We start from the raw sequence: 25,647 nt of genomic DNA, 5'->3' as shown, positions 1-25,647 counted from the left end.
GTGCCATCTCGGCTCACTGCAGCATCCACCTCCCGGGTTCAAGCGATTCTCCTGCCTCAGCCTCCCGAGTAGCTGGGATTACAGGTGGCCGCCACCATGCCCAGCTAATTTTTGTATTTTTAGTAGAGACAGGGTTTCACCGTGTTGGCCAGGCCAGTCTCAAACTCCTGACCTCAAGTGATCCACTCGCCTTGGCCTCCCAAAGTCCTGGGATTACAGGCGTGAGCCACCATGCCTGGCCATAAGTAGGCTTTTACTGAGCCTTGTGTGTATTGGCTATCCTAGTGATTACAGTGAACCAGTGCCCTTCTTATTAATCACACATTTAATTGTTCCCTAAAAGTGATTAGTTCACTTTATTTATTTAGTAAGACAAAAAATGAAGAATACTCTTAACTGAGCAGTCTGTTAACTGTAGGAAAGCACTGACACTTATAAGGCTTAGTTTTCTGTCATTTATCCAGAAGTATGGTTGATTACAGTTTTTACTTTTTTATTTGAATGAACAACCTTAATTTAAAATATATTTTGTTTATTTTTTGTTGGGATCGATACATTGTCCTTGTTTATAGATTAGAGCATGCTTTTTAAAGATGCTGTATTACTCACTGATTTTATTTGTCCAGTGTACAGAGATTGAAGTGGGAAAATTATAATGGAAATTGTTTCCATAGTCATTACATATTAATTTCATCAATTTATTTCCATAAAATCTGTAGATTGCTACTTATTTAGATTTTTCCTTCAAATGTTTTTATGTTGTATTGCTTGCACTGAGTATTTATTCTATATGCTCAATTTGCTGGAGAAGAAGACTAATTATAACTTAGGCAAGTTGTAAAATTAGGGAAAAAAGTAAGGTACCTTACAGCCTAGTTTACTTATTTCTTATGTAAAGCCAGTTAGATTCCACATTAGTTCAAACTGCCTTCTTTGAGCAAAACTTGATTGGCAGTGATAAAGGCTTAAAGCCCTTCTCAAGCAGAGACCTGTAAAGACTAGATCTGACTGTAGTAGAAGGAAGGAACTTAGATGTTTCAGGCAGTGAGAACACCAGTCTTCCACTCTAAACTTTGCCACTAACAGTATGACCTTGGGAAGTTGTAACTTTCTTCAGATTCTTCATTTGTTGAATGGGGGGATTGGCCTAGCTAATTTCTAAATCTCTACTGGGCTAAAAAATTCTGTGCTTATACTCTGATTATGAAGTACATAATCTGTGCTTAACATTCACTGACTTATCCTTAGGATAATACAGAAGCAGTACAAGAAACAGCCCCTCAAGATGTTTGCAGTCTGGTTAGAAAGACAAACTTATACACAGAACAGTAGCAAATAGACCAAAATAATAATAGCTGCCATTTATAGAACACTTCTTCTGTTCTGGGCATTAGACAAAAACTGACTATAACGGTGAACAAAAAAGACTTAGGTCCTGCCCTCATTGAACTTACAGATTAGTAGGGGAGAGGAACATTAATCAAGTAATTCCACAGATGGCTTAGCCTAGATTGGTAGTGATGGAAGTAAAGAGATGTGAACGGACTTGAAAAAAAATTCGGAGGCAAAATGGATAGAAGTTTATTATTGATTAAATATGAGGTGTGAGAGAGAGGGATATTTAAGATTGATACCTACCTTCTGGCTTGCCTAACAGAACCAAAACAGGAAATTATATGTTCAGTTTTGTTATGTTGGGTGGGAGGTGCTTTTGAGTCATTCATTTATATATGTTATATATGTTATTTTATATGCATAGTAATTTTAAGGTCTGAGTTTTAAACCAAAGGTTAGAGAGTGATTTTTTAGAGTCTAGCAAACCTAAGTTGAAATCCTGCCTGTTGAAATGGCTGTTTACTAGCTCATTAACCTAGGGCAAAGTATTCAACTTGTTTTCATTTTTGTCTTCATCTCTAAAATGAGGAAAATATGGTCTTACAAGATTGTCCTGAGAGATAGATGAAATAATATCCAAAAAAAAAAAAGGTACATAGAGAAACTCGTATAGTGCCTGGTATATAGTAGGTCCTCCATTGGTAGCTATCATTATCTAGTTTTAACATAGCCTTCAGTTTGTTGAATTAGTCAAACTGAGTGAAGCACTGCAAGGAATTCAGAGGAATTTGAGATCAACAAATGATTTCTGAAGTTTAGGGAAGACTTCATGGCAATGACACTTACCTTGTATAAAAGTTGAAGAATAAGAAAGATTTGAATGAGAGATTCTTTCTCTTCTCCCTACCAGCCCAGCTTCTTATTTGAGGATATATTGGGCAAAGGGGCCTTCAGACAAGTAGAGGGAGATTTTTACAGAAAGATTGAGATGAAGGTATAGAAGGCTGTAAAGACCAGAAAAGAGAATTGAGACAGAGGAAGCAGGAAGCCACTGTAGGTTTTTGAGCAAGATATTGATGCTGTAAGTATGGTGTTTATGAAAGGTTAGTCTGGAAGAGATTTGCAGGATGGAGACCCCGGAAGTTTTTTTGTTATAATACAGAAAGACTTGCACTGAGGGTGAGGTGTTAAAAATAAACAGGTAAGTAAATGTTTAAACATCTTGAAGGAAAAGTCAACAAATCTTGGCAAGTAAACAGATAACAGTGAAAAAGAATGGGACCAAGATTTTGAGTTTTGGAGACTGGTGGATTGAACAGACAGGGAAATTGAGAGGAGAATCAGATGATGATGTTTTAAGTTGATATTTAGACAGATTGTGCTTGAGATGGTAAAGTCAATGTGGGTGGGAATGCTTAGTAGCGAGTAATCAGTGATACAAGACCAAAGCCCAGGTCAAAGACAAGTCACAGATACAGATCAGGGCTTTTTCATCTGCTCCACAGAGGTGTACCCTAGGAGCTGTTGCAAACAGTCCATGTGGAGGGTGTGAGTAAGATGTTTCCCTTGAATTTGCCAGAATTACTTTTTTGTTGTTGTTGTTGTTTTTTCTGAGACAGATTCTCGCTCTGTTGCCCAGGCTGGAGGGCAGTGGCGAGATCGCGCAGCTCACTGCAACCTCTGCCTCTCGGGTTCGAGTGATTCTCCTGCCTCAGCCTCCCAAGTAGCTGGGATTACAGGCTTGTGCCACCAAGCCCAGCTAATTTCTTTTGTATTTTTAGTAGAGATGGGGTTTCACCATGTTGGCCAGACTGGTCTCGAACTCCTGGCCTCGTGATCTGCCTGCCTCAGCCTCCAAAAGTTCTGGGATTACAGGCGTGAACCACTGCACCCGGTCCCTTGTTAAGTTTATTTTGGTGGGAAGCAAAGGAGGTTTCAGCTTTTAAAAAGTTTGAAAATTATTGCTCTGGTAATAATTAAAGATTTGAGAGTAAATATGCTTTCTAGCAGAAAGAATAAAAGAAGAACAGATAGCCTCAAGAAGGGGAGCCAAAGAAGCAGGCTATATCTGACACACTGGGTGTTGATAAATGGGTATTAAAAGAATGAGAGCAATGAGCAGATAGAAGAGGAAATTAGGAGAGTATAATACCATGGAGACCAAGAAAGATAGACTATCAGGAAGGAGTGGTAAAAATAAGTTACTAGTTCTAAGAGAGATGTTAAGAGGGACCGGGGAAAGCCTTGTACAAATGAGTTAGTAGCATTTTACATTATATACATCTAATTAAGAAACAATGCGAGAGTCTCACCATTCCTATAGACTCTTACTTGTACTTGTCTGAACACGAAAACTGGCTTTTGTTTATAAATAAGCTAAAAATTATTTTGCTCCAATTTCTCATGAAAATAAAAATAAACCTTCTTTTAACATTGAAAAAATAGTTTGAAGACAGTCACTCTTCATTTTGTAATTCCCACAACTATTATTGAATGACTGAAATTATCTTTATTCTGAAGCCAAAGGGGTGATACTGATATTTCTTCAGACTACTAAAAATATATTTTATGAATTTTTAGTGTGCTTTATCTTTTTTTGTTTTTTTTTTTGAGATGGAGTTTCACTCCCGTTGCTCAGGCTGGAGGGCAGTGGTGCAATCTCAGCTCACTGCAACCTTCGCCTCCCAGATTCAAGCAATTCTCCTGCCTCGGTCTCCCAAGTAGCTGGGATTACAGGCACCTGCCCCCACACCCAGCTAATTTTTTGTATTTTTAGTAGAGACAGGGTTTCACCATGTTGGTCAGGCTGGTCTTGAACTCCTGACCTCAGGTGATCCACCCACCTTGGCCTCCCAAAGTACTGCGATTGCAGGCATGAGCCACCATGCCTGGCCTGAGGAATATTTTTCTAGGTTCCCCCCACCCCAAGCATTTATTCTGCAATTTTAGTTTTGTTCCTAAAGCAAGCAAGGTTTAAGGATTTAAAAATAATCCGTATTTTAGAATGCTTTCTGGCTTTGTTACTTTTTATCCACAGTAGAAGTTCTCAGAGAATGATCTCCCTCTTTTAATTTAACTTTTTGGCACAGTATTTTGAGAATTATAAATAATATTAGAATGTTTTCTGGCTGGGTGTGGTGGCTCATGCCTGTAATCCTGGCTACTTGGGAGGCTGAGGCAGGAGAATCACTTGAACATGGGAGGCAGAGGTTGCAGTGAGCCGAGGTCATGCCACTGCACTCCAGCCTGGGTGACAGAGCAAGACTCTGTCTGGGAAAAAAAAAAAAAAAAAAAAGAGTGTTTTCTTTCCTATTTTCCACCACTTGATTAAGTTACTTTTCCTCTTAAGTATTTTTTGCTGAGTATGCTGACTTAAGAGTAATGTTACAAAATTTAATTTTTAAAGTTCTCTGAAAGCCCCTTTATGAGAGTTTTAGGCTATCAAATTGTGTTTAATTCTTAACAATTTTTTGAAAAATTATAGCTTCAATATCCGTACATTCCCCACAAAAAAGCACTAAAAATCATGCCTTGCTGGAGGCTGCAGGACCAAGTCATGTTGCAATCAATGCCATTTCTGCCAACATGGACTCCTTTTCAAGTAGCAGGACAGCCACACTTAAGAAGCAGCCAAGCCACATGGAGGCCGCTCATTTTGGTGACCTGGGTAAGTAACTATCATTTTTTATTAACTTGTATTAGAAGGATTTGAGTACAATATGTGAAACTTCTGTCATAGGATACAGAACTATATAATTGGAAAGTGCTTTGGAAAAAATGTATTTAAAATAACAGCTACAAGTATAATGGGTAGCTGTGTTGTGTTCCTGTAAATATAGAATATAAAGCATGCCCAGTAGAAAAACAAGCATTTCCAGAAGAAATATATCTGATCACTAAATATAAATATATGAAAAAGATGTCTCACTTTATTACTGAGGGAAGTGCAAATTAAAATAATCAGTTAATGTTCTCCTAACACATTAGCATATTTTTTAAAGTTTGACAATTTGAATGTCAGTGAAGATGCAGGGAAATACCCCTCCTATTTAGTGATAATATAATCTGGTGAAGACTCTTTGGAAAGCAATTTGGAAATCAGTATAAAATATGCATGTCATTTAGGCCACTCTTTCTAAGACCTAGCCCTCAGATATGCTCATTCATATGTGCAGGTGTGTATGTGTGTGTGTGTGTGTGTGTGTGTGTGTATATGTATGTATGTATGTATGTATGTATGTATGTTGAAGGCTATTCATTATAGTATTGTTTGTGATAGCAAAAAATTATGGACAACATATAAATATCTGTTATAGGGAAATAACCAAATTGTGGTATACGCATGCTCTGGAGTATAATATAGCCATTTGTTTCTATTTATTTATTTTCTTGAGACAGGGTTTTACTCTGTTGCCCAGGCTGGAGTGCAGTGGTATGATCATGGTTCACTGCAGCCTTCACCTCCTGGGCACAAGCCATTCTCTCGCCTCAGCCTCCAGAGTTACTAGGACTGCAGGCATGTGTCACCACACCCAGATAATTTTTTAATTTTTTGTAGAGACAGGGTCTCACTATGTTGCCTAAGCTGGTCTCAAACTCCTGGCCTCAAGCAATTCTCCCACACAGGCCTCCCAAAGTGCTGGGATTACCAACGTGAACCACCACACCTGGTTCAGTGTAGCCATTTAGAAATCTAAAAAAGACGTGGGAAAATGTCTAAGGCATGTTTAAATGTGAGAAAAGCAAGTCACAGTATGCATGGTAAAATCCGTTATATTAAAATAAGTTCTTCCAAAACAAAAACATATGCAGGAGACCTTTATTTTGTCAGTATTTCTTACCCAAATTTCTGCACTTAGAAAATTGCATGTCATGTTGTCATAAGTTGAAAAAAAGATCCATGAACCAATGGACTTCTAATAAAATCAGTCCTGCTTTTGACATCTCTCTCTACTTTTGTGTATATTCAAACCAGAGTGTCAATGTGTTTGTGGGGCACACTTAGCAATAATACATAGCAGACAAAATGCATATAGCTCAGAGAGTAAAATTGTAAGTTTTGCTAGATCACTCATAAATTGCTGATGAGAATTTAAAATGGTGCAGATGCTCTGGAAAACAGGCAGTTTCTTTCTTTCTTTTTTTTTTTCTTTTTGAGACAGGGTCTCACTCTGTTGCGCAGGCTGGAGTACAGTGGCGTGATTACAACTCACTGCAGCCTCACCCTCCTCAGGTTCAGGTGATCCTCCCTCAGTCTCCTGAGTAGCTGGGACTATAGGCATGCACCACCACGCCTGGCTAATTTTTGTATTTTTTTTTTTTTTTTTTGTAGAGACGGGGTTTCGCCATGTTTCCCAGGCTGGTCTCAAACTCCTGGAATCAAGCGATCCACTTGCGTAGGCCTCCCAAAGTGCTGGGATTACGGGCGTGAGCTACTGTGCCTGGCCTAGGCAGTTTGTTTGTTTGTTTGTTTGTTTGTTTATTTATTTGTAGACGGAGTCTCACAGGCTGGAGTGCAGTGGCCCAATTTTTGGCTCACTGCAACCTCCGCCTCCCAGGTTCAAGCTATTCTCCTGCCTCAGCCTCCTGAGTAGCTGGGATGACAGGTGCCTGCCATAATGCCTGGCTGATTTTTGTATATTTAGTAGATATGGGGTTTCACCATGTTGGTCAGGCTGGTTTTGAACTCCTGACCTCAGGTGATCAGCCCGCCTCGGCCTCCCAAAGTGCTGGGATTACAGGCATGAGCCGTCATCCCTGGCTGGTGGTTTCTTATGACGTGAAACATGCAATTACCATATGACCTAGCAGTTGCACTCTGTATTTATCCCAGATAAATGAAAACTTACCTTCCAATAAAAACCTGTGCACAAATGTTCATAGCAGCTTAATATTGAAAAACTGGATGTTCTTCAGCAGGTGAATGAACTGGTTCATTCATACCATGGAATACCATTCAGCAATAAAAAGGAACAAACTGTTGATACATTTAACCACCTGGATGAATATCAAGGGAATTATGCTGTCAGACAAAAACCAGTCCCTAAAGACTACATATAGTATGATTCCGTTTGGATAATATTCTTGAAATAGAGAAATTAAGAGAAATGAAAAGATTAGTGTTTGCCAGATGTTAGAGACAGGGAGGTGAGAGGGGTAAGTGGGTGTAGTTATAAAAGTGCAACATGAGGGATCTTTGTGATGTTGAAGTTGTATCTTGGCAGTGGATGCAGAAATCTCAATGTGATAAAATTACAAAGAACTAAAAACAAGAATGAGTATAGATAAAACTGGGGAAATCTGAACAAGTTAGAGTGTTGTATCACTGTCAGTATCTTAGAGTGATATTGTACTATAGCTTTGCAAGATGTTACCATGGGAGAAACTAAAGTGTACAAGGGATCTCTAGGTATTATTATTTTTTTAGAGATGGGGTTTCACTATGTTCCCCAGGCCGGTCTTGAACTCCTGGGCTCTAGTGATCCGCCTGCCCCAGCCTCCTAAAGTACTGGAATTACAGGCGTGAGCGACCATGCCTGGCCCTTTCAGTATTGTATCTTAGAACTTCATGTGAATCTAGCATTATCTCATAGAATTTAATTAAAAGAAATTGTAAACCTCACAGAAGATCAGAATTTCCTCAAGTTTGTGATGTTGACAAAGATGAACTAGTTGACACTGACAGTAAGACTGAGGATGAAGACACGACGTGCTTCAAAAAAATGATTTGAATATCAATGGATTAAGAAGAACTCTTTTGACAAATTGATGAAACCCTCAGTCAGTTTTATAAGAATGCCCATCTTTATGATCATGCTATGAAAGCCAATTTTTAAAAAAATTTTTTGTCTTTCCTAACAATTAGCTTGTGGTTATAATTTAAATTTAGTTAAATATAAGATAAATGATTTTTTATTAAGTTTAGTTTCATTTTTCAAGGTACGATCTCAAAGCTACTCTTTAACCTACTATGAATGAATAATGCTGAGTTCATAACATCTTTGTAGATATATCCACAATTTTCCCTCAGGATAAGTGCCTACAAGTGGAATTACTGGACTGAAAATAATGCAGTTTGCTAAGACTTTGCTATCTGTTCCTGAATGCTCCTCCAAAAAGGTTTTGCCAGTTTACATCCTCATGACCAGCGAATGAGAGTGTTGCCTATTTTCCTGTGCCCTTGTTACTGCTTAATAATTTTTGAAAAAAATCTAATTTGACAGACAAAAATGCATTTTATGTTAATTTGCTTTTCTGGGATTTTTAATGAGGTTGAGTATAGTTTTTAATATTTTTATTGGCCCCTTTGGAACTAGTATCATAAGTTTTTTTTCTTAAGAATTTATGTAGTCTGGGCTGGGCGCAGTGGCTCACGCCTGCAATCCCAGCACTTTGGGAGGCCGAGGTGGGTGGATTGCCGAAGGTCAGGAGTTTGAGACCATCCTGACCAACATGGTGAAACCGAATCTCTACTAAAAGTACAAAAACTAGCTCAGCGTGGTGGCGGGTGCCTGTAATCCCAGCTACTTAGGAGGCTGAGTCAAGAGAATCGCTTGAACCCGGGAGGTGGAGGTTGGTTGCATTGAGCCGAGATCGCGCCATTGCTCTCCAGCCTAGGCAACAAGAGTGAAAAGTCTCAAAAAAAAAAAAAAAAAAAAAAAAAAGAATTTACATGGTCTGAATTGCCATTAAAAGAGATATGAGAATTATTGAGTAACAAATAACTTTTTAATAATTTAGGCAAGTTTTGGACGATTGTACTTTGTTTAGAAACCAAAAGCATAGTATTTGTAGTTTTTTTATTTACTTTAGTTGCTAGGAAGTAAACTTTATTCAAGGTCTCTGGTACCAGTTGTTGCTAAAAGTGATTGACTAATCTGTCAATCTGAAATTATTTGTTGCTGAACTGCTAATTCTTTTGCTTCTATCTTTTAGGCAGATCTTGTCTGGACTACCAGACTCAAGAGACCAAATCAAGCCTTTCTAAGACCCTTGAACAAGTCTTGCACGACACTATTGTCCTCCCTTACTTCATTCAATTCATGGAACTTCGGCGAATGGAGCATTTGGTGAAATTTTGGTTAGAGGCTGAAAGTTTTCATTCAACAACTTGGTCGCGAATAAGAGCACACAGTCTAAACACAGTGAAGCAGAGCTCACTGGCTGAGCCTGTCTCTCCATCTAAAAAGCATGAAACTACAGCGTCTTTTTTAACTGATTCTCTTGATAAGAGATTGGAGGATTCTGGCTCAGCACAGTTGTTTATGACTCATTCAGAAGGAATTGACCTGAATAATAGAACTAACAGCACTCAGAATCACTTGCTGCTTTCCCAGGAATGTGACAGTGCCCATTCTCTCCGTCTTGAAATGGCCAGAGCAGGAACTCACCAAGTTTCCATGGAAACCCAAGAATCTTCCTCTACACTTACAGTAGCCAGTAGAAATAGTCCCGCTTCTCCACTAAAAGAATTGTCAGGAAAACTAATGAAAAGTGAGTATGTGATTTTCTTGTGTGTACATATGTGTCTCACTTTCTTTTTTTAATTTACTAAGCAGAACTTCAGATGAGGAATAAAATGATTGGAATATTTTTTTTCTCCTCTAACTACTTGTAAATTTGGGAGAATTTGGAGAGTGTAGTAGAGTCAGATCAGTGTATGGAAAAGGAGCAGGAGTGACTGGACCTTCTAAGAAGTGTGTTATCAGAATTAGTAAATGAAGGGTCAAATGTCCTACTTTTCCCCTCCACTGATTTTGACATCAAACCATTATCCACATAGCCTTATTTCCTCCCTCGGTCTTAATTTTATTAATATTTTACTGCACTTTGCAGATAAAATTTTTAAAAAATTTTTAAAAATTGCCAATAAGTGACATTTATTAAGTTCAGTGCTTAGTGTATATTTGGATTTTATTTATTAGTCACAAGACCTTTGTGCAGGTAGTAGGCATGATTATCTTTTTTTTTTTGAGATGGAGTCTTGCTCTGTCGCCCAGGCTGGAGTGCAATGGCGCGGTCTCGGCTCACTGCAACCTCCGGGTTCATGCCATTCTCCTGCCTCAGCCTCCCAAATAGCTGGGACTACAGGCGCCTGCCACCACACCCGGCTAATTTTTTTGTATTTTTAGTAGAGACGGGGTTTCACCATGTTCGCCAGGATGGTCTCGATCTCCTGACTTTGTGATCCGCCTGCCTCGGCCTCCCAAAGTGCTGGGATTACAGGCATGAGCCACCGCGCCCGGACTGATTATCTTATTTACACATGAGAAAACCAGGGCTTAGAAAGGTTAGGTAACTTCCTCTAGGTTGTACAGTAAATGTGGACCTAGAAGCATTTTGACAAGAGCACCTGTTTTTTTTTCTTCTCTATTAGTTTAGAAATTATATACTCTTAATTATCACCTGGGATTTTGATTAGACAGCCTTCATGTTCTTTTTCATCTTAAATGTTCTTTGTGTCTTAAAGGGCTAAGTGATTTCTTCAGATCTTTTAGTTCACTCATTCTCAGTGAACTAAAATGAGGTCTAATCTGCTACTGAATCAAGTTTTCAGCATGTTATTTCCTTCCTCCCTCCCTCCCTCCTTCCTTCCCTCAACCAGGCTCCCGAGGAGCTGGGATTACAGGCGCCCGCCACCACTCCTGGCTAATTTTTATATTTTAGTAGAGACGGGGTTTCACCATGTTGGTCAGGCTGATCTTGAACTCCTGACCTCAAGTGACCCACCTGCCTCGGCCTCCCAAAGTGCTGGGATTACAGGCATGAATCACCACACCTGACGGCATGTTATTTTCATCGCAAAGTTACTGTAAGCTGGGAGAAGTGGCACACACTTGTACTCCCAGCTACTCAGGAAGCTTAAGGTGAGAAGATTGCTTGAGCCCAGGAGTTTTGAGACCAACCTGGGCAACACAGCAAGACCCCAGCTCAAACAAAGAAAAAAAGTTATTGAATTTTTTATTTCTATGGATCATTTTTTGTAGTTTCTTATTCCTTTCACCCTTCATTCCCACTTTTGATCCCATCTTTTATTTATTTAGTTTTATTAAATGTATATTTGTCTGATAATTCTGCTATCTACAGTTTTTTGTGGACCTGACTCAGCATTTCTTTGTTTCTTCGGATTCAGACTGTTGGTGGCTTGTGATTTTAGTGATTTTTGGCCGTGAACATGTTTCTTGGACTTTTGTCTGTGGGAATTCTCTGTGTACTCTGTATAAATTAAGTTACTTCAGGTGTTTTGCATTTTCTTTTGCCATGCACCTGGGGCCTGGGTCACTACCCTTCTGGTACCACTTAAAACTGAATTTTTGTCTTGGGTGCTCGTACTGATCCTGTATGAGTACAGGTTTATACTTACTGTAGAAATATGGTGTTTGATTATGGGGTATTGTCCCAGATGGTGCTGGAGTATTAATATGCTCTCTGTTAAACTTAATGTGTTGTCCCTGTAAAACTCCAAAATTCTGAATTCCAGAATACTACTGGCCCCAAATGTTTAAGATAAGGGCACTGCCTGTATTTGTTTCTGCCTCCCACTATTTTCCTTAGTTTAACACAAACTCACCTTTTTAAAAAACATTTTGAGAGAATTCAGTATTGGGAAGAGTTTCTAACCTGTTTCTGGAAATGGAAGTCCAAAGTCTGTTTCTGTAATTGTTTTTTTTTTGAGATGGAGTCTCACTCTGTCACCCAGGCTGGAGTGCAATGACGTACTCTCAGCTCACTGCAACCTCCACCTCCCGGGTTCAAGCGATTCTCTTGCCTCAGCCCCCTGAGTAGCTGGGATTACAGGTGCCCACCACCATGCCTGGCTGATTTTTGTATTTTTAGAAGAGATGGGGTTTCGCCATGTTGGCCAGGCTGGTCTTGAACTCCTGACTTTGTGATCTGCCCACCTCAGCCTCCCAAAGTGCTAGGATTATGTTTCTGTAATTGTAATACATTTATTGTTTTTAGAAACTGTCTTTGCTTTAGTGGTAATTTTCAATAAAAATAGAAATAGCAGTGGAGTTATTAAAAGAGCATTAGTTACATTTTTCCCTTTTTCATTATCTTCAAATATTATATATAGTAAGTTTGACCTTTTTAAAATGTATACTTGTATCAGTTTTAACACATACATAGATTCCTGTAACTGTCACCACTATAAGGGTAAAGAACAGTTAGTTCCTTCACCTTTGAAGTCAAGCCCCACCTCTATCCCAACACTTGGCAACCGCTGATCTTTCTCCGTCTCAATAGCTTTGCCTTTTCTCTTTTTTTTTCTTATTTTTTTTTTTGAGACAGCGTCTTGCTCTGTCGCCCGAGCTGGAGTGCAGTGAGGCAATCTCGGCTCACTGCAACCTCCGCCTCCTGGGTTCAAGCAGTTCTCCTGCCTTAGCCTCCCTAGTAGCTGGGATTATAGGCACGCACCACCACACCCGGCTGATTTTTTTGTATTTTTAGTAGAAATGGGGTTTCACCATGTTGGCCAGGCTGGTCTCAAACTCTTGACCTCAAGTGATCCACCTGCCTCGGCCTCCCAAAGTGCTGGGATTACAGGCGTGAGCCACTGTGCCCAATCAGGACTTTTTTTTTTTAAATTTACATTCAACTTGTCATTTTTTTCTTGTATGGATTGTGCCTTCAGAGTCACACCTAAGAGCCCTTTGCCTAAGCAAAGGTCATGAAGATTTTCTCATATGTTTCCTTTTAAAAGTATTGTGGTTGGCCAGGTGCCATGGCTTATGCCTGTAATCTCAGCACTTTGAGAAGCTGAGGTGGGCAGATTACGAGGTCAGGAGATCGAGACCATCCTGGCTAATGCGGTGAAACCCCATCTCTACTAAAAATACAAAAAAAAAAAAAAATTAGCCGGGCGTGGTGGCGGGCACCTGTAGTCCCAGCTACTTGAGAGGTTGAGGCAGGAGAATAGTGTGAACCCGGGAGGTGGAGCTTGCAGTGAGCCGAGATCGCGCCACTGCACTCCAGCCTGGGCAACACAGTGAGACTCCATCTCAAAAAAAAAAAAAAAGTATTATGGTTTTACACTTTACGTTTAGATATATATCTTTTTTGAGTTAATGTCGTATAAGTATGAGGGTTACGTCAGATTTTTTGTTTTTTGTTTATTTTTACATATGGATGTCTAGTTGTTCTAATACCATTTGTTGAAAAGACAACCTTTACTCCATTGAATTGCCTTTGTACTTTTGCCATATTTGTCTAGGCCTGTTTTTGGACTCCTTTTTCTGTTTCATGATGTGTGTGTCTATTCCTTTGTTAATACCACATGGTCTTAATTACTGTATAGTAAGTCTTAAAATTGGGTAATGCTGGCCTTATAAAACGAATTGGGAAGTTTTTATTTTTACTCTTATTTCCATTTTCTAGAAGAGATTGTGTAGAATTGGTGTCATTTCTTCTTTAGATATTTGGTTGAATTGGGAAGTGATGCCATCTGGGCCTAGGGTTTTGTTTTTTGTGTGTGAGACAGAGTCTCACTTCTGTCACCCAGGTTGGAGTGCAGTGGTGAGATCTTGGCTTACTGCAACCTCTGCCTCCCAGGTTCAAGTTATCCTCCTGCCTCAGCCTCCCAAATAGCTGGGATTACAAGCGTGTGCCACCATGCCCGACTAATTTTTGTATTTTTAATGCAGACAGGGTTTCACCATGTTAGCCAAGCTGGTCTCGAACTTGTGACCTCAAGTGATTAGCCCACCTTGGCCTCCCAAAGTGTTAGGATTATAGATGTGAGCCACCGTGCCTGGCAGGGGCCTAGGGTTTTCTTTTTCAGAGTATTTTAAACTATGAATTCAGATTATTTAATAGATATAGGACTATTTAAGTTATCTGTTTCTTCTTGAGTGAATTTTTACTGTAGTTTATGGCCTTTGAGTAATTAATTGTATTGAATTGTCAAATTTATGAGCGTGTAATTATTTATAGCATTTCGGGTTTGTAGTGGTATCCCTCTTTTATTCCTGGTGTTGGCAATTGTGTCTTGTTTTTCTTTGTCAGATTGTATAGGGATTTATTAGTCTTTTCAAAGAACTAGCTTTTGTTTTGATTTTTCTGTTGTTTTGTTTTCAATTTTATTGATTTTCTGCTCTTTATTATTTCTTTTCTATTATTTCTGCTTGCTTTGGGTTTATTTTACTCTTTTTTTTTTCTCCAAGTTGCTTAAAGTAGAAACTTAGATTTCTGGTTTGAGACCTTTCTTTTCTAAGATAAGCATTTAATACTGTAAATTTCCTTCTAACCACTGCTTTAGTTACACCCCCACAAATTCTGGTATTTTGAACTGAGCACAAATGAAATGTTCTAATTTCCCTTGAATCTTATTCTTTTACCAATGAATTATTTAGAAATATGTTATTTAGTTTGCAAGCAATTGGAGACTTTTTTCCTGTTATTTTTCTACCATTTATTTCTCATTTCATTATATTATGGTCAGAGAATATATTTTGAATGATTTCATTTATTAATTTTTAAAAATAACATTAAAAAATTTTTTAAAATGTGAATATACCACATACAGTATAAAGATTGTACATTCTGTTTTTGGACAGTTTTCTATAAATGTCAAGTTGATTTAGTTGGTTAATGATGGTGTTCAGTTTTTCTTTATTCTTGCTGATACTTTGTATGCAGTTATATCACTTTATTACTCAGAAGAGTGTTGAACTTTCCAACTACAATTTTTTTTTCCAATTTTACTTTCAGCTCTATCTGGTTTTGCTTCATGTATTTTGAGGCTCTGTTGTTAGGTGTGTACACATTCAGGATGATATCTTCTGGGTGAATTGCCTGTTTTATCATTATGTAATTCCCTCTTTATGGTAATTTTCCTTGTTCTAAGATCAGAAATATCTGTTGTCCAATTTATATAGACACTGCAGCTTTCATTTGATTAGTGCTTGCATGGCATATCTTTTTCCATTTTTTTACTTTTGATCTACCTTTATAATTCTATTTAAAGGGGGCTTCTTGTAGGCAGCATATAGTTGGGTAGTGTTATTTATTTATTTATTTATTTATTTATTTATTTATTTATTGAGACAGAGTTTTGCTCTTGTTGCCCAAGCTGGAGTGCAGTGGTGCAATCCTGGCTTACCACAACCTCCACCTCCTGGGTTGCAGTGATTCTCCTGCCTCAGCCTCCCAAGTAGCTGGGATTACAGGCACGCGCACCATGCCTGGCTGATTTTTTGTATTTTTAGTAGAAACGGATTTTCACCATGTTAGCCAGGCTCGTCTTGAACTCCTGACCTCAGGTGATCCACCTGCTTTGGCCTCCCAAAGTGCTGGGATTACAGGCGTGAGCCACTGCACCCGGCTGAGTCATGTTATTTTTAATCTTTTCTCACAATACAGGGTTTTTGTTGGTAAATTTAATTATTTTAATATAAATTTTAGTATAATTATTTACATTAAATGTAACTGTTGCACTGGGGTATTTATAATGTGTAAATATAATTATTGGTATTAATATAATTATATTACTCATAATAATATTAATATCTTTGGATTTAGATTACCAGTTTAGTATATGTTTTTCTGTTTCTCCCTCTTTGATTTCCCCTTTTTTGCTTTTTTTTTTTTTTTAATTCTTATTTTTTTTTAGTATTTGTTGATCATTCTTGGGTGTTTCTTGGAGAGGGGGATTTGGCAGGGTCATAGGACAATAGTTGAGGGAAGGTCAGCAGATAAACATGTGAACAAGGTCTCTGGTTTTCCTAGACAGAGGACCCTGCGGCCTTCTGCAGTGTTTGTGTCCCTGGGTACTTGAGATTAGGGAGTGGTGATGACTCTTAACGAGCATGCTGCCTTCAAGCATCTGTTTAACAAAGCACATCTTGCACCACCCTTAATCCATTTAACCCTGAGTGGTAATAGCACATGTTTCAGAGAGCAGGGGGTTGGGGGTAAGGTTATAGATTAACAGCATCCCAAGGCAGAAGAATTTTTCTTAGTACAGAACAAAATGGAGTCTCCCATGTCTACTTCTTTCTACACAGACACAGTAACAATCTGATCTCTCTTTCTTTTCCCCACATTTCCCCCTTTTCTATTCGACAAAACTGCCATCGTCATCATGGCCCGTTCTCAATGAGCTGTTGGGTACACCTCCCAGACGGGGTGGCAGCTGGGCAGAGGGGCTCCTCACTTCCCAGATGGGGCAGCCGGGCAGAGGCGCCCCCCACCTCCCAGACGGGGCAGTGGCCGGGCGGAGGCGCCCCCCACCTCCCTCCCGGATGGGGCGGCTGGCCGGGCGGGGGCTGACCCCCCACCTCCCTCCCGGACGGGGCGGCTGGCCGGGCGGGGGCTGACCCCCCACCTCCCTCCCAGATGGGGCGGCTGGCCGGGCGGGGGCTGCCCCCCACCTCCCTCCCGGACGGGGCGGCTGCCGGGCTGAGGGGCTCCTCACTTCGCAGACCGGGCGGCTGCCGGGCGGAGGGGCTCCTCACTTCTCAGACGGGGCGGCCGGGCAGAGACGCTCCTCACCTCCCAGATGGGGTGGCGGTCGGGCAGAGACACTCCTCAGTTCCCAGACGGGGTCGCGGCCGGGCAGAGGCGCTCCTCCCATCCCAGACGGGGCGGCGGGGCAGAGGTGGTCCCCACATCTCAGACGATGGGCTGCCGGGCAGAGACACTCCTCACTTCCTAGACGGGATGGCAGCCGGGAAGAGGTGCTCCTCACTTCCCAGACGGGGCGGCCGGTCAGAGGGGCTCCTCACATCCCAGACGATGGGCGGCTAGGCAGAGACGCTCCTCACTTCCCGGACGGGGTGGCGGCCGGGCAGAGGCTGCAATCTCGGCACTTTGGGAGGCCAAGGCAGGCGGCTGGGAAGTGGAGGTTGTAGGGAGCTGAGATCACGCCACTGCACTCCAGCCTGGGCAACATTGAGCATTGAGTGAGCGAGACTCCGTCTGCAATCCTGGCACCTCGGGAGGCCGAGGCAGGCAGATCACTCGCGGTCAGGAGCTGGAGACCAGCCCGGCCAACACAGCGAAACCCCGTCTCCACCAAAAAATGCAAAAACCAGTCAGGTGTGGCGGCGTGCGCCTGCAATCCCAGGCACTCTGCAGGCTGAGGCAGGAGAATCAGGCAGGGAGGTTGCAGTGAGCCGAGATGGCGGCAGTACAGTCCAGCCTCGGCTTTCACAACTTTGGTGGCATCAGAGGGAGACCGGGGAGAGGGAGAGGGAGACGAGGGAGAGCCCCTTTTTTGCTTTCTTTTGGATTATTTGAATTTTTCCTTAAATTTATTTATCTTACTTATTTATTTATTTTTTTGAGTGATTCTCCTGCCACAGCTCCCAAGTAGCTGGGACTGCAGGCATGTGCCACTACACCCAGCTAATTTTTTTGTATTTTTAGTAGAGACAGGGTTTCACCATATTGGCCAGGCTGGTCTTGAACTCTTGACCTCAAGTGATCCACCTGCCTCGGCCTCCCAAAGTGCTGGGATTACAGGCGTGAGCCACCATGCCCTGCCTTTTTCTAGAATTTATATATTGAGTTCTTGATTGTATCTTTTTATGTAGGCTTTTTAGTGGCTTCTCTAGGAATTACAATATACATACTTTTCACAGTGTACTCACATTTAATATTTTGTAACTTCAAGTGGAATGTAGAAAACTTAACCACCATAAAAATAGAACTAGGGATGAGGTTAAAAAAGAGAGAGAAAAGAAATGTAATAAAGATTTAATAACACCGTTTTTTTTTTTTTTTCTCTTTTTTTTTTGAGACAGAGTCTCTCTTTCTGTTACCAGGCTGGAGTGCAGTGGCGTGATCTTGGCTCACTGCAACCTCCGCCTCCTGGGTTCAAGTGTTTCTCCTGCCTCAGCCTACTGAGTAGCTGGGATTACAGGTGCGCGCCACCATGCCCAGCTAATTTTTGTATTTTTAGTAGAGACGGTTTCACTGTGTTGGCCAGGATGGTCTCGATTTCTTGACCTTGTGATTCGCTCTCCTCAGCCTCCCAAAGTGCTGGGATTACAGGCGTGAGCCACCGCGCCCGGCTAAGTCTTTAAATATTTTTTTGACATTGCACTTTTTCTCTTTTCCTTCTAGGATTTTAGTAACCCAAATGTTAGTTTTGTTATTGTTTGGCAGGTTCCTGAGGCTTTCCTTACTTCTTTAAATTTTTTTTTCCTGTTGTTCAGCTTCGAAAATTTCTATTCATCTGTCTTCAAATTCACTGGTTCTTTCCCGTTATTTCCATTCTGTTATTGAGTCTTTGTAGTGAATTTTAAATTTTGTTTATTATGTTTTTTAGTTCTAAAATTTTCTTTTTTTGTGTATGTCTTATACTTTGCTCCTGAAACTCTTATTTGTTTCAGGAGTGATCTTATTTCTTAGAGCATGGTTTTAGTAGCTACTTAAAATTTGTTTTATCATCCCAGCATATGTGTCCTCTTGATTGTCTTTTCTCTTGTGAGATAATGGGATTTTCTGGTTCTTTATATGACAATTAATTTTGGATTGTATCTTGGACAGTTTGACTTACGTTACATGATTCTGAATCTTGTTTAAATCCTGTGGAAAATATTGAAGTTTTTGCTTTAACAAGCAGTTGACCTAGTTAGGTTCAGTCCACAAATTCTAAGCAGCATTCTGTCGGCTCTGGTTCCATCATCAGTTCAGTTTTGTATCTTATCTGCTTATGTGCCTTTCTGTGTCCAGTCTGGGACCTGGCCAATGGTCAGGTCCCAAAGCCTTTGTACACTTTTAGAAGCAGGGCCATGCACACCCAGCTCACGAGTGGCCCCGGGAGTGCACATACAACTCGACGTTTTCATGGGCTCCTTCTTTTCTGTGATGTCCCTGACACGTTCTGCCTTCTAAGAACCTCCCTTTATCCCTTTCCTGTTGTCTGGCTAGAAAGTCAGGGCTTTAGATTCCCTATACTTCAGCACACTTCCTGTAGCTATGTCAACCTCTGTGGCCACGACTTCTTCTTCTTGGGACTGCAGTTTCTCTTGTCAGAAAGTAGGATTCTTGGAGCTGCTGTCATTGCTGCTGTGGCTGCTCTGATGCTGCCTGGGAGTCGAAGGAGAGAAAGGAACAAAACAAAACAACCCAGGGGATTTCCTCCACTCTCTTTGATCCGTGAGAGCCCCCTTTCCTGTTCCTCAGACCAGAAATAGAGGGCCTGTCTTGGAACTTCTTCTTTGTGCATCTGGTGTGCAGTTTCAGCTTTTGAGTCCAGGCCAGGAGGTGCTGGACAAACTTGTCAGGAGTACGGAGGTACTGCAAGTTCTGATTACTTTTCTCAGTCCACCTGCTTCCAAGTCCTTGGATGCATTTGTCCATTGTTTTGAGTTGCATTCCATGGGAGAGACAGAAGAGTGTGCTTATTTCATCTTGACATACTTATTAGGATTTCATATCAAATCAACGGATGATATTCTCTATATTAATTTGCTGTTTTCCCTTTAGCAAGCACATTAGGAAAATAACACTTTAACACCCGCCTTTGGTGGTTTCTGTCATAATTATTAATACTTGACTTTTTTTTTTTTTTTGAGACGGAGTCTCACTCTGTCCTTTGAGGCATTGTCCCCATAAACTTTTGGTAAAGCATCAATAATTTTATCTTTCATCCACACAAGCTTCACCATAAATTTGATGTTTATTCTTCCATTTTAGCAGAATTCATGTTGCTCCAATAGGGGCTGTCTTCAAACTGATGTTTTCTCCTTCTTAGTGCCTCAGAGTAGATCCTGTTCAGATACGTTATAACAGGTTAATATGAGTTTATTTTGGTGTAAAAGTACTTTGAAATTCATGCATAGTTTTTTCATCATATGCATTTTCCATAGCTTTGAACACCCCCATGTAACTCTCCTCTTCCACAAACCAAACAATGAAAAAGCACCTTTGTGATGGAAGTTTATTTTGCAATAGGAACTCACAGTGATCTAAGCCCTGCTATTCATGAATATAATTCATTACTGGAGTCCAAGTTGCTTTTTGGTTTTTGAAGTTCTCTTCTTCCCTTGCAGGTATAGAACAAGATGCAGTGAATACTTTTACCAAATATATATCTCCAGATGCTGCTAAACCAATACCAATTACAGAAGCAATGAGAAATGACATCATAGGTAAGCAGTGCTTGAAACTATGGCAAAAAAAAAATGACAAAAAATGCACAGAACTGACAATTTTCGTTATTGACTAAGATAATTTTTTCTTAACATGGAATTTAGCAGTTCCCTTCCTAATTTGTTTTCTGAGTATTTTTTATATCGGATTATAGCTCACTTTAAAAGTTTCTCGGCTGCATTCGGTGCGAGGGTCTTTGCCTGGGCCAGATGGGCTGCAGTGTAGCGGGTGCTCAGGCCTGCCCGCTGCTGAGCAGCCGGGCCGGCGGGCGGCTACGCTAACCGGCACAGACCACCGGATGGACTGGCCGGCAGCCCCGCACCAGTGCACGAAGTGGGCGGGACAGAAACTTCTGGGGTTGGAAGTCCAGTGAGGCTAAAAGCCGGTACCAAAGTCTCTAGGCATCAGGGCTGCAGCCCAAGAGTCTCACGACCAGTGGGCAACTGGATGGCCAGACAGGTGTCTCAGTGGTGGCCTCTCCGTCTCAGGGCTTCATCCCACTTCTCAGTGGGCCTGACGTCCCTGGGCACCCTGGATGTCTACCTGCATTAGCCAGAGCCATCACATGGCCTGTGACTTGCCTTTTTTTGCCAGTTGATTGTGCCACACACAGTGTCATTTCTGTGTCATTTGGCACAGCTGGAGGTGCAAGGAGGAGGGCAGCCTCATGTCCAGTCCCAGTTTCACGTAACTTTATTCTTCTGAATAAAGACAATTTGCTAACCTTAAAAAAAAAAAAAAAAAAAAAGTTTTTCTTATATGTTGGACCCAAATTCTTAGGCTTTAACCTGAATAACAATGACAGCAAGATCAATAAATAGTACACATTTATTAAACACTCACTGTGTCCCAGACAATATTCCAAGCACTTTTTATGGATAGACTCATTTTAACTTCTAAAGAACTTTGTGGGATAAATACAGTTATTTTATAGATGAAGAAACTGAAGCACAGAGAAGTTAAGTGCTTTGTCCAGGGTAACAGCTCAGATATGGCAGAGTCAGGATTTGAAACTAGACCCTCACATACCTTAACTGCTGTGCTGTGGCAGTGTTTTTCATACTGTAGGTTGGGACCAGCCTTCTCTTATGCCCTCACCCCCTGCCAAAAAAAAAAAAAAAAAAAAAAAATATATATATATATATATATATATATATATATATATATAATATATATATATATAAAATATATATATATATAAAATATATGTATTAGTATATATGCATATATAGTATATATTATATATTAGTATATATACTAATATATAATATACATATTAGTGTGTGTATATATATATATACTAGAATAAAAAAATCAAAGTATCTCAGAGTAGTAAGGACAAACATTTCAGAAAAATGTTTTCATTATATATACATGTATGTATGTGTATGCTGATTCAACAAATATATTTCTTATAGGTTATAGCAAAATAGTTTGAAAGCTTTTACTGTGTTTTATCAGGAAGACCTTAGGTGAACGTATATTCACAGATAAAAGAGGTTATTTATTCATTCAATAAATATTACATTCTCATAAGTCCTAATATTATGTATTTTTATTCTTCAAAAAAGTTAGTATTTGTGATTTATGAAATAAGACATGTTCTTGCACTTTTAGCAGATCTGTCCCGATGTTGGGCTTCTTTAATCCTTAGTGTGGGTGCTTTGCACTCACTCACTGCTGGGGACAGCAAGACCCCTGTTAGTCTCAGCTGTGTTTCTTAAATTGGCCCACTGTACCTTCCAGTTAGCTATTCTGGGGTCCATGTCATGTTGGCTCCATTTTCCTTTTCTTTCTCCCACACAGATACCTATAACGGCTATAACATAGGCCTGGTGGCTGTTGGTGGCTTATCCCTATCTGCTTGTATTTAAGGGGTACTGTTTCACTGAGTTTTGCTGACAGATGTTGTCATGAGATTTGAGGTTTTCTGTGTTGTTGCTCTATTTTTATGTGGGAATTTGCTACTATCATCATCCCTAGACCAGCTTTTCCTAGTAATACAACAGGGATGTTCTGACTGATTAGAGTTTGCCTGTTTGAAGAATTGGTTGGCTAGTGATTTTTTTTTGAGGGGAGTCTGTACCAGTTAATAGCCTGACTGGCGTGTGGATAAAAAGGAAGCAGTTTCAAGTCAAATAAAACACTTAAAATGAAACCACACTGCAACTCTCTTTCTTTTACTTAAGCTTAATCAAATTAATGATGATGTAATCCCATGAAGGAAAAGTCTTCTGAAGGATCAAGTTGATAACATTTTGTGATCAAAGAATTTGAGAAAACCTCTATCCCAGTGTCTATCATTATATATTTTAGGATGTTAATTACCTGTGTGGCTTTAGGCAAGTCATTTTTCCTCCTTGAGCCCCATTCTTAATCCTGTCCAAATTATTTGTCTCCTCTTGCAGTTGGACTATTTTAATATAGCTGTCCTTCAAGTGAGTTTTGTTCAAAGGAGCCTTCACTTTAGCTCTTACTGTGTACCCACTTTGCATAGTCTTGTTTTAAATGTAATCCTTGGATTTTTGGTGTTGCTAACTAATTACTGTTTTTATGTGAGGATTTAGAGTGATCCAGAATCTATACTTGCACTACCTCCTTCATCTTCCACAAATGTTTGAAGTGGTAGAATTTTTAAAAACTTTGAAGGTACAGCTGACAGAATTTGCTGATGGTTTGGAAGTGAGTGGTATGAGAGGGAAAAAAAGGAATAAAGCATGACTGCATTTTTTGTTTGTTTGTTTGTTTGTTTTTGAGACGGAGTCTCACTCTCGCCAGGCTGGAGTGCAGTGGCGTGATCTTGGCTCACGGCAACCTCCGCCTCCTGGGTTCAAGCGATTCCCCTGCCTCAGCCTCCCAAGTAGCTGGGACTACAGGCGCTCGCCACCACGCCTGGCTAATTTTTTTTTTTGTATTTTAGTAGAAACGGGGTTTCACCGTGTTGGCCAGGATGGTCTCCATCTCCTGACCTCATGATCTACTCACCTTGGCCTCCCAAAGTGCTGAGGTTACAGGCATATATATAAGCATATAAAGTGTGTTATAGCATACAAACAGGTATATATATAAACATGCAGTCCACACAGCTGATAGGAATGAGGCAGTAGTGAAGGAGAAGTTGATGTAGGAGAGGGGACAGTTGTTACAGGAAAGAAGTCTGGAGGCAGAAGGGATGAATTCCAGTGCTCACATAGAAGATTGCTTAGATGGGAGCAAGGACAATTTATCTAGAGTCACAGGAAAGAATGCAGTACACGGGTAGAGATGCAGGTGAGTTGAAAGATGTGAGAGATGATGGAAATAATTTTCTGATTGCTTCTATATTCTCAAGGAAGCAGGAAGCAAAGTCCTCAGCAAAGAGAATAGAAGAGGTGTTAAATATTTGAGAAAGGAGATGTACTGTAGAAAAAAAAAAAACTCAGTTTCTCCTTCTGAACTCTCACAAAACAGAACCCTTCCATGACTCTAGTTGTGTGGGGTTTTTTCCCTGTCAGCTACCAATTCTGCAGATGATTGTTCAGTGAACACCAACTGGGTGTCCTCTAAGTCAGTTCAGTTCTCACACTGTTTACCTGGAGATAGCATCAGATCCCACAGATTGAGGACTCTGTCCCACAAGACTGCCTCCACTTCAGATGCCAGTCTCAAGTACAAGTTGTGGCCTGTGCTTCTGACTGACCTTCTATAAATTGGAGTTCCCACAGTCCCCTCCTTGGGTTCAATAAATTTGCTAGAGCAGCTCTCAGAACTCAGGGAAATGCTTTACATATATTTACCCATTTATTATAAAGGATATTACAAAGGATACAGATTGAACAGGCAGATGGAAGAGATGCATGGGCAAGGTATGGGAGAGGGGCACAGAGCTTCCATGCACTCTCCAGGTCATGCCACCCTCCAAGAACCTCTACAGATTTAGCTATTCAGAAGCCCCCCTCCCCATTCTGTCCTTTTGGGTTTTTTGTGGAGACTTCATTATATAGGCATGATTGATCATTGGCTATTGGTGATCAGCTCAACCTTCAGCCCCCTCATCCCGGGAGGTTGGTGGGTAGGGCTGAAAGTCCCAAACGTGTAATTCTGCCTTGGTCTTTCTGGTGATTAGCCCTCATCCTAAAGCTCTTTAGAGGCCACAGCCACAAGTCATCTCATTAGCCTTCAAAAGAATCCAGAGATTCCATGAATTTTAGGCGCTGTATGCTAAGAAACTGGCTAAAGGCCAGTTGCAATGTCTCAGGCCTGTAATCCCAGCACTTTGGGAGGCTGAGGCAGGAGGATCGTTTCAGGCCATGAGATCAAAACCAGCCTGGTCAACATAGTGAGACCCCCTTACAAAAAATTTAAAAATTGGCCAGGCGTAATAGCTCTTGTCTGTAGTCTCAGCTACTCAGAAGGCTGAGGATCACTGAGCCCTGGAGTTGAAGGCAGCAGTGAGCCATGATCGTGCCACTGACTCCGGCTTGGGTGACAAAGTGAGACCTTGTCTCAGAAGAAAAAGGAAAAAAAAAAAACTGGGCAAAGACTAAATAACATATTTCACAGTATCACAGATTTGTATTGTCTAGGAAAGTGAATGTAAACAGACCAGGACACTAGTATGATCCCTTGGTTTCATGAAGGTCCCACTAAAGTCATGAACACAAAGTGAGACTAGGCATCATGTTATATGGTTTTTCCAGCCATGTTTAACAGCTAGCTAAATAGCTAATTGTTTCGCTGCAGTTTATTTTAGCAGTTCCTTATTTTAGCACATTTCATGTTTTAAAATTTCTACCAATAACATTTTAATAAACTTTTTTACAGATAACTTCACAAATCCATAATTTTTTAAGTTACAATCCCAGAAATAGAATTGCTCATTGAAAGGGTATGTTCATTTTTAAAGTTATGCTAGAAACTGCCAAATTGCCTTCAGAAAAAGGTGTTTGTATCCCCACTAACACTAGTGTTAGTTTTCTTGTGCCCTTGCTCAAGTATACATATTATTAAAAACAATGTTGGGCCAGTTTACTAGATAAAAGGTGTAGTGCCTCCTTATTCTAATCTATTTGATTACTAGTGAGTATGTATGTCTTTTCACGTTGGTCATTTTATGTTTGTTCCTTTGTGGATTGTCATGTCCTTTGCTCATTTTTCTTTTGGAACATTTCTTAGTAGTTTATAAGAGCTCTTGGTATTTTAATGATAGTAACCTTTTAACTGTCATGCATG

The 25,647-nt window shown here is 40.4% G+C and overlaps 1 protein-coding gene across 5 annotated transcripts in view; it reads left to right on the top strand.

Annotated features, from left to right (window-relative positions):
• The window catches only part of AKAP10 (A-kinase anchoring protein 10), a 73,527-nt gene that overhangs the window by 9,987 nt on the left and 37,893 nt on the right, over nucleotides 1–25,647 (top strand). For all 5 annotated transcript variants that reach the window (XR_007065258.1, NM_001330152.2, NM_007202.4 and 2 more), the window contains exons 3-5: nucleotides 4,820–5,002; nucleotides 9,271–9,828; nucleotides 20,337–20,435. Coding sequence is in view for 4 of the 5 variants with exons in the window: in NM_001330152.2 (NP_001317081.1) it covers nucleotides 4,820–5,002; nucleotides 9,271–9,828; nucleotides 20,337–20,435 (840 nt within the window). In the remaining variant the exon portion in view is untranslated. The remainder of the gene's footprint in view (nucleotides 1–4,819; nucleotides 5,003–9,270; nucleotides 9,829–20,336; nucleotides 20,436–25,647) is intronic.

The sequence above is a fragment of the Homo sapiens genome, chromosome 17 (assembly GCF_000001405.40).
Source record: "Homo sapiens chromosome 17, GRCh38.p14 Primary Assembly".
Classification (NCBI taxonomy): Eukaryota; Metazoa; Chordata; class Mammalia; order Primates; family Hominidae; genus Homo; species Homo sapiens.
This window is presented reverse-complemented; position numbering and strand designations above follow the sequence as displayed.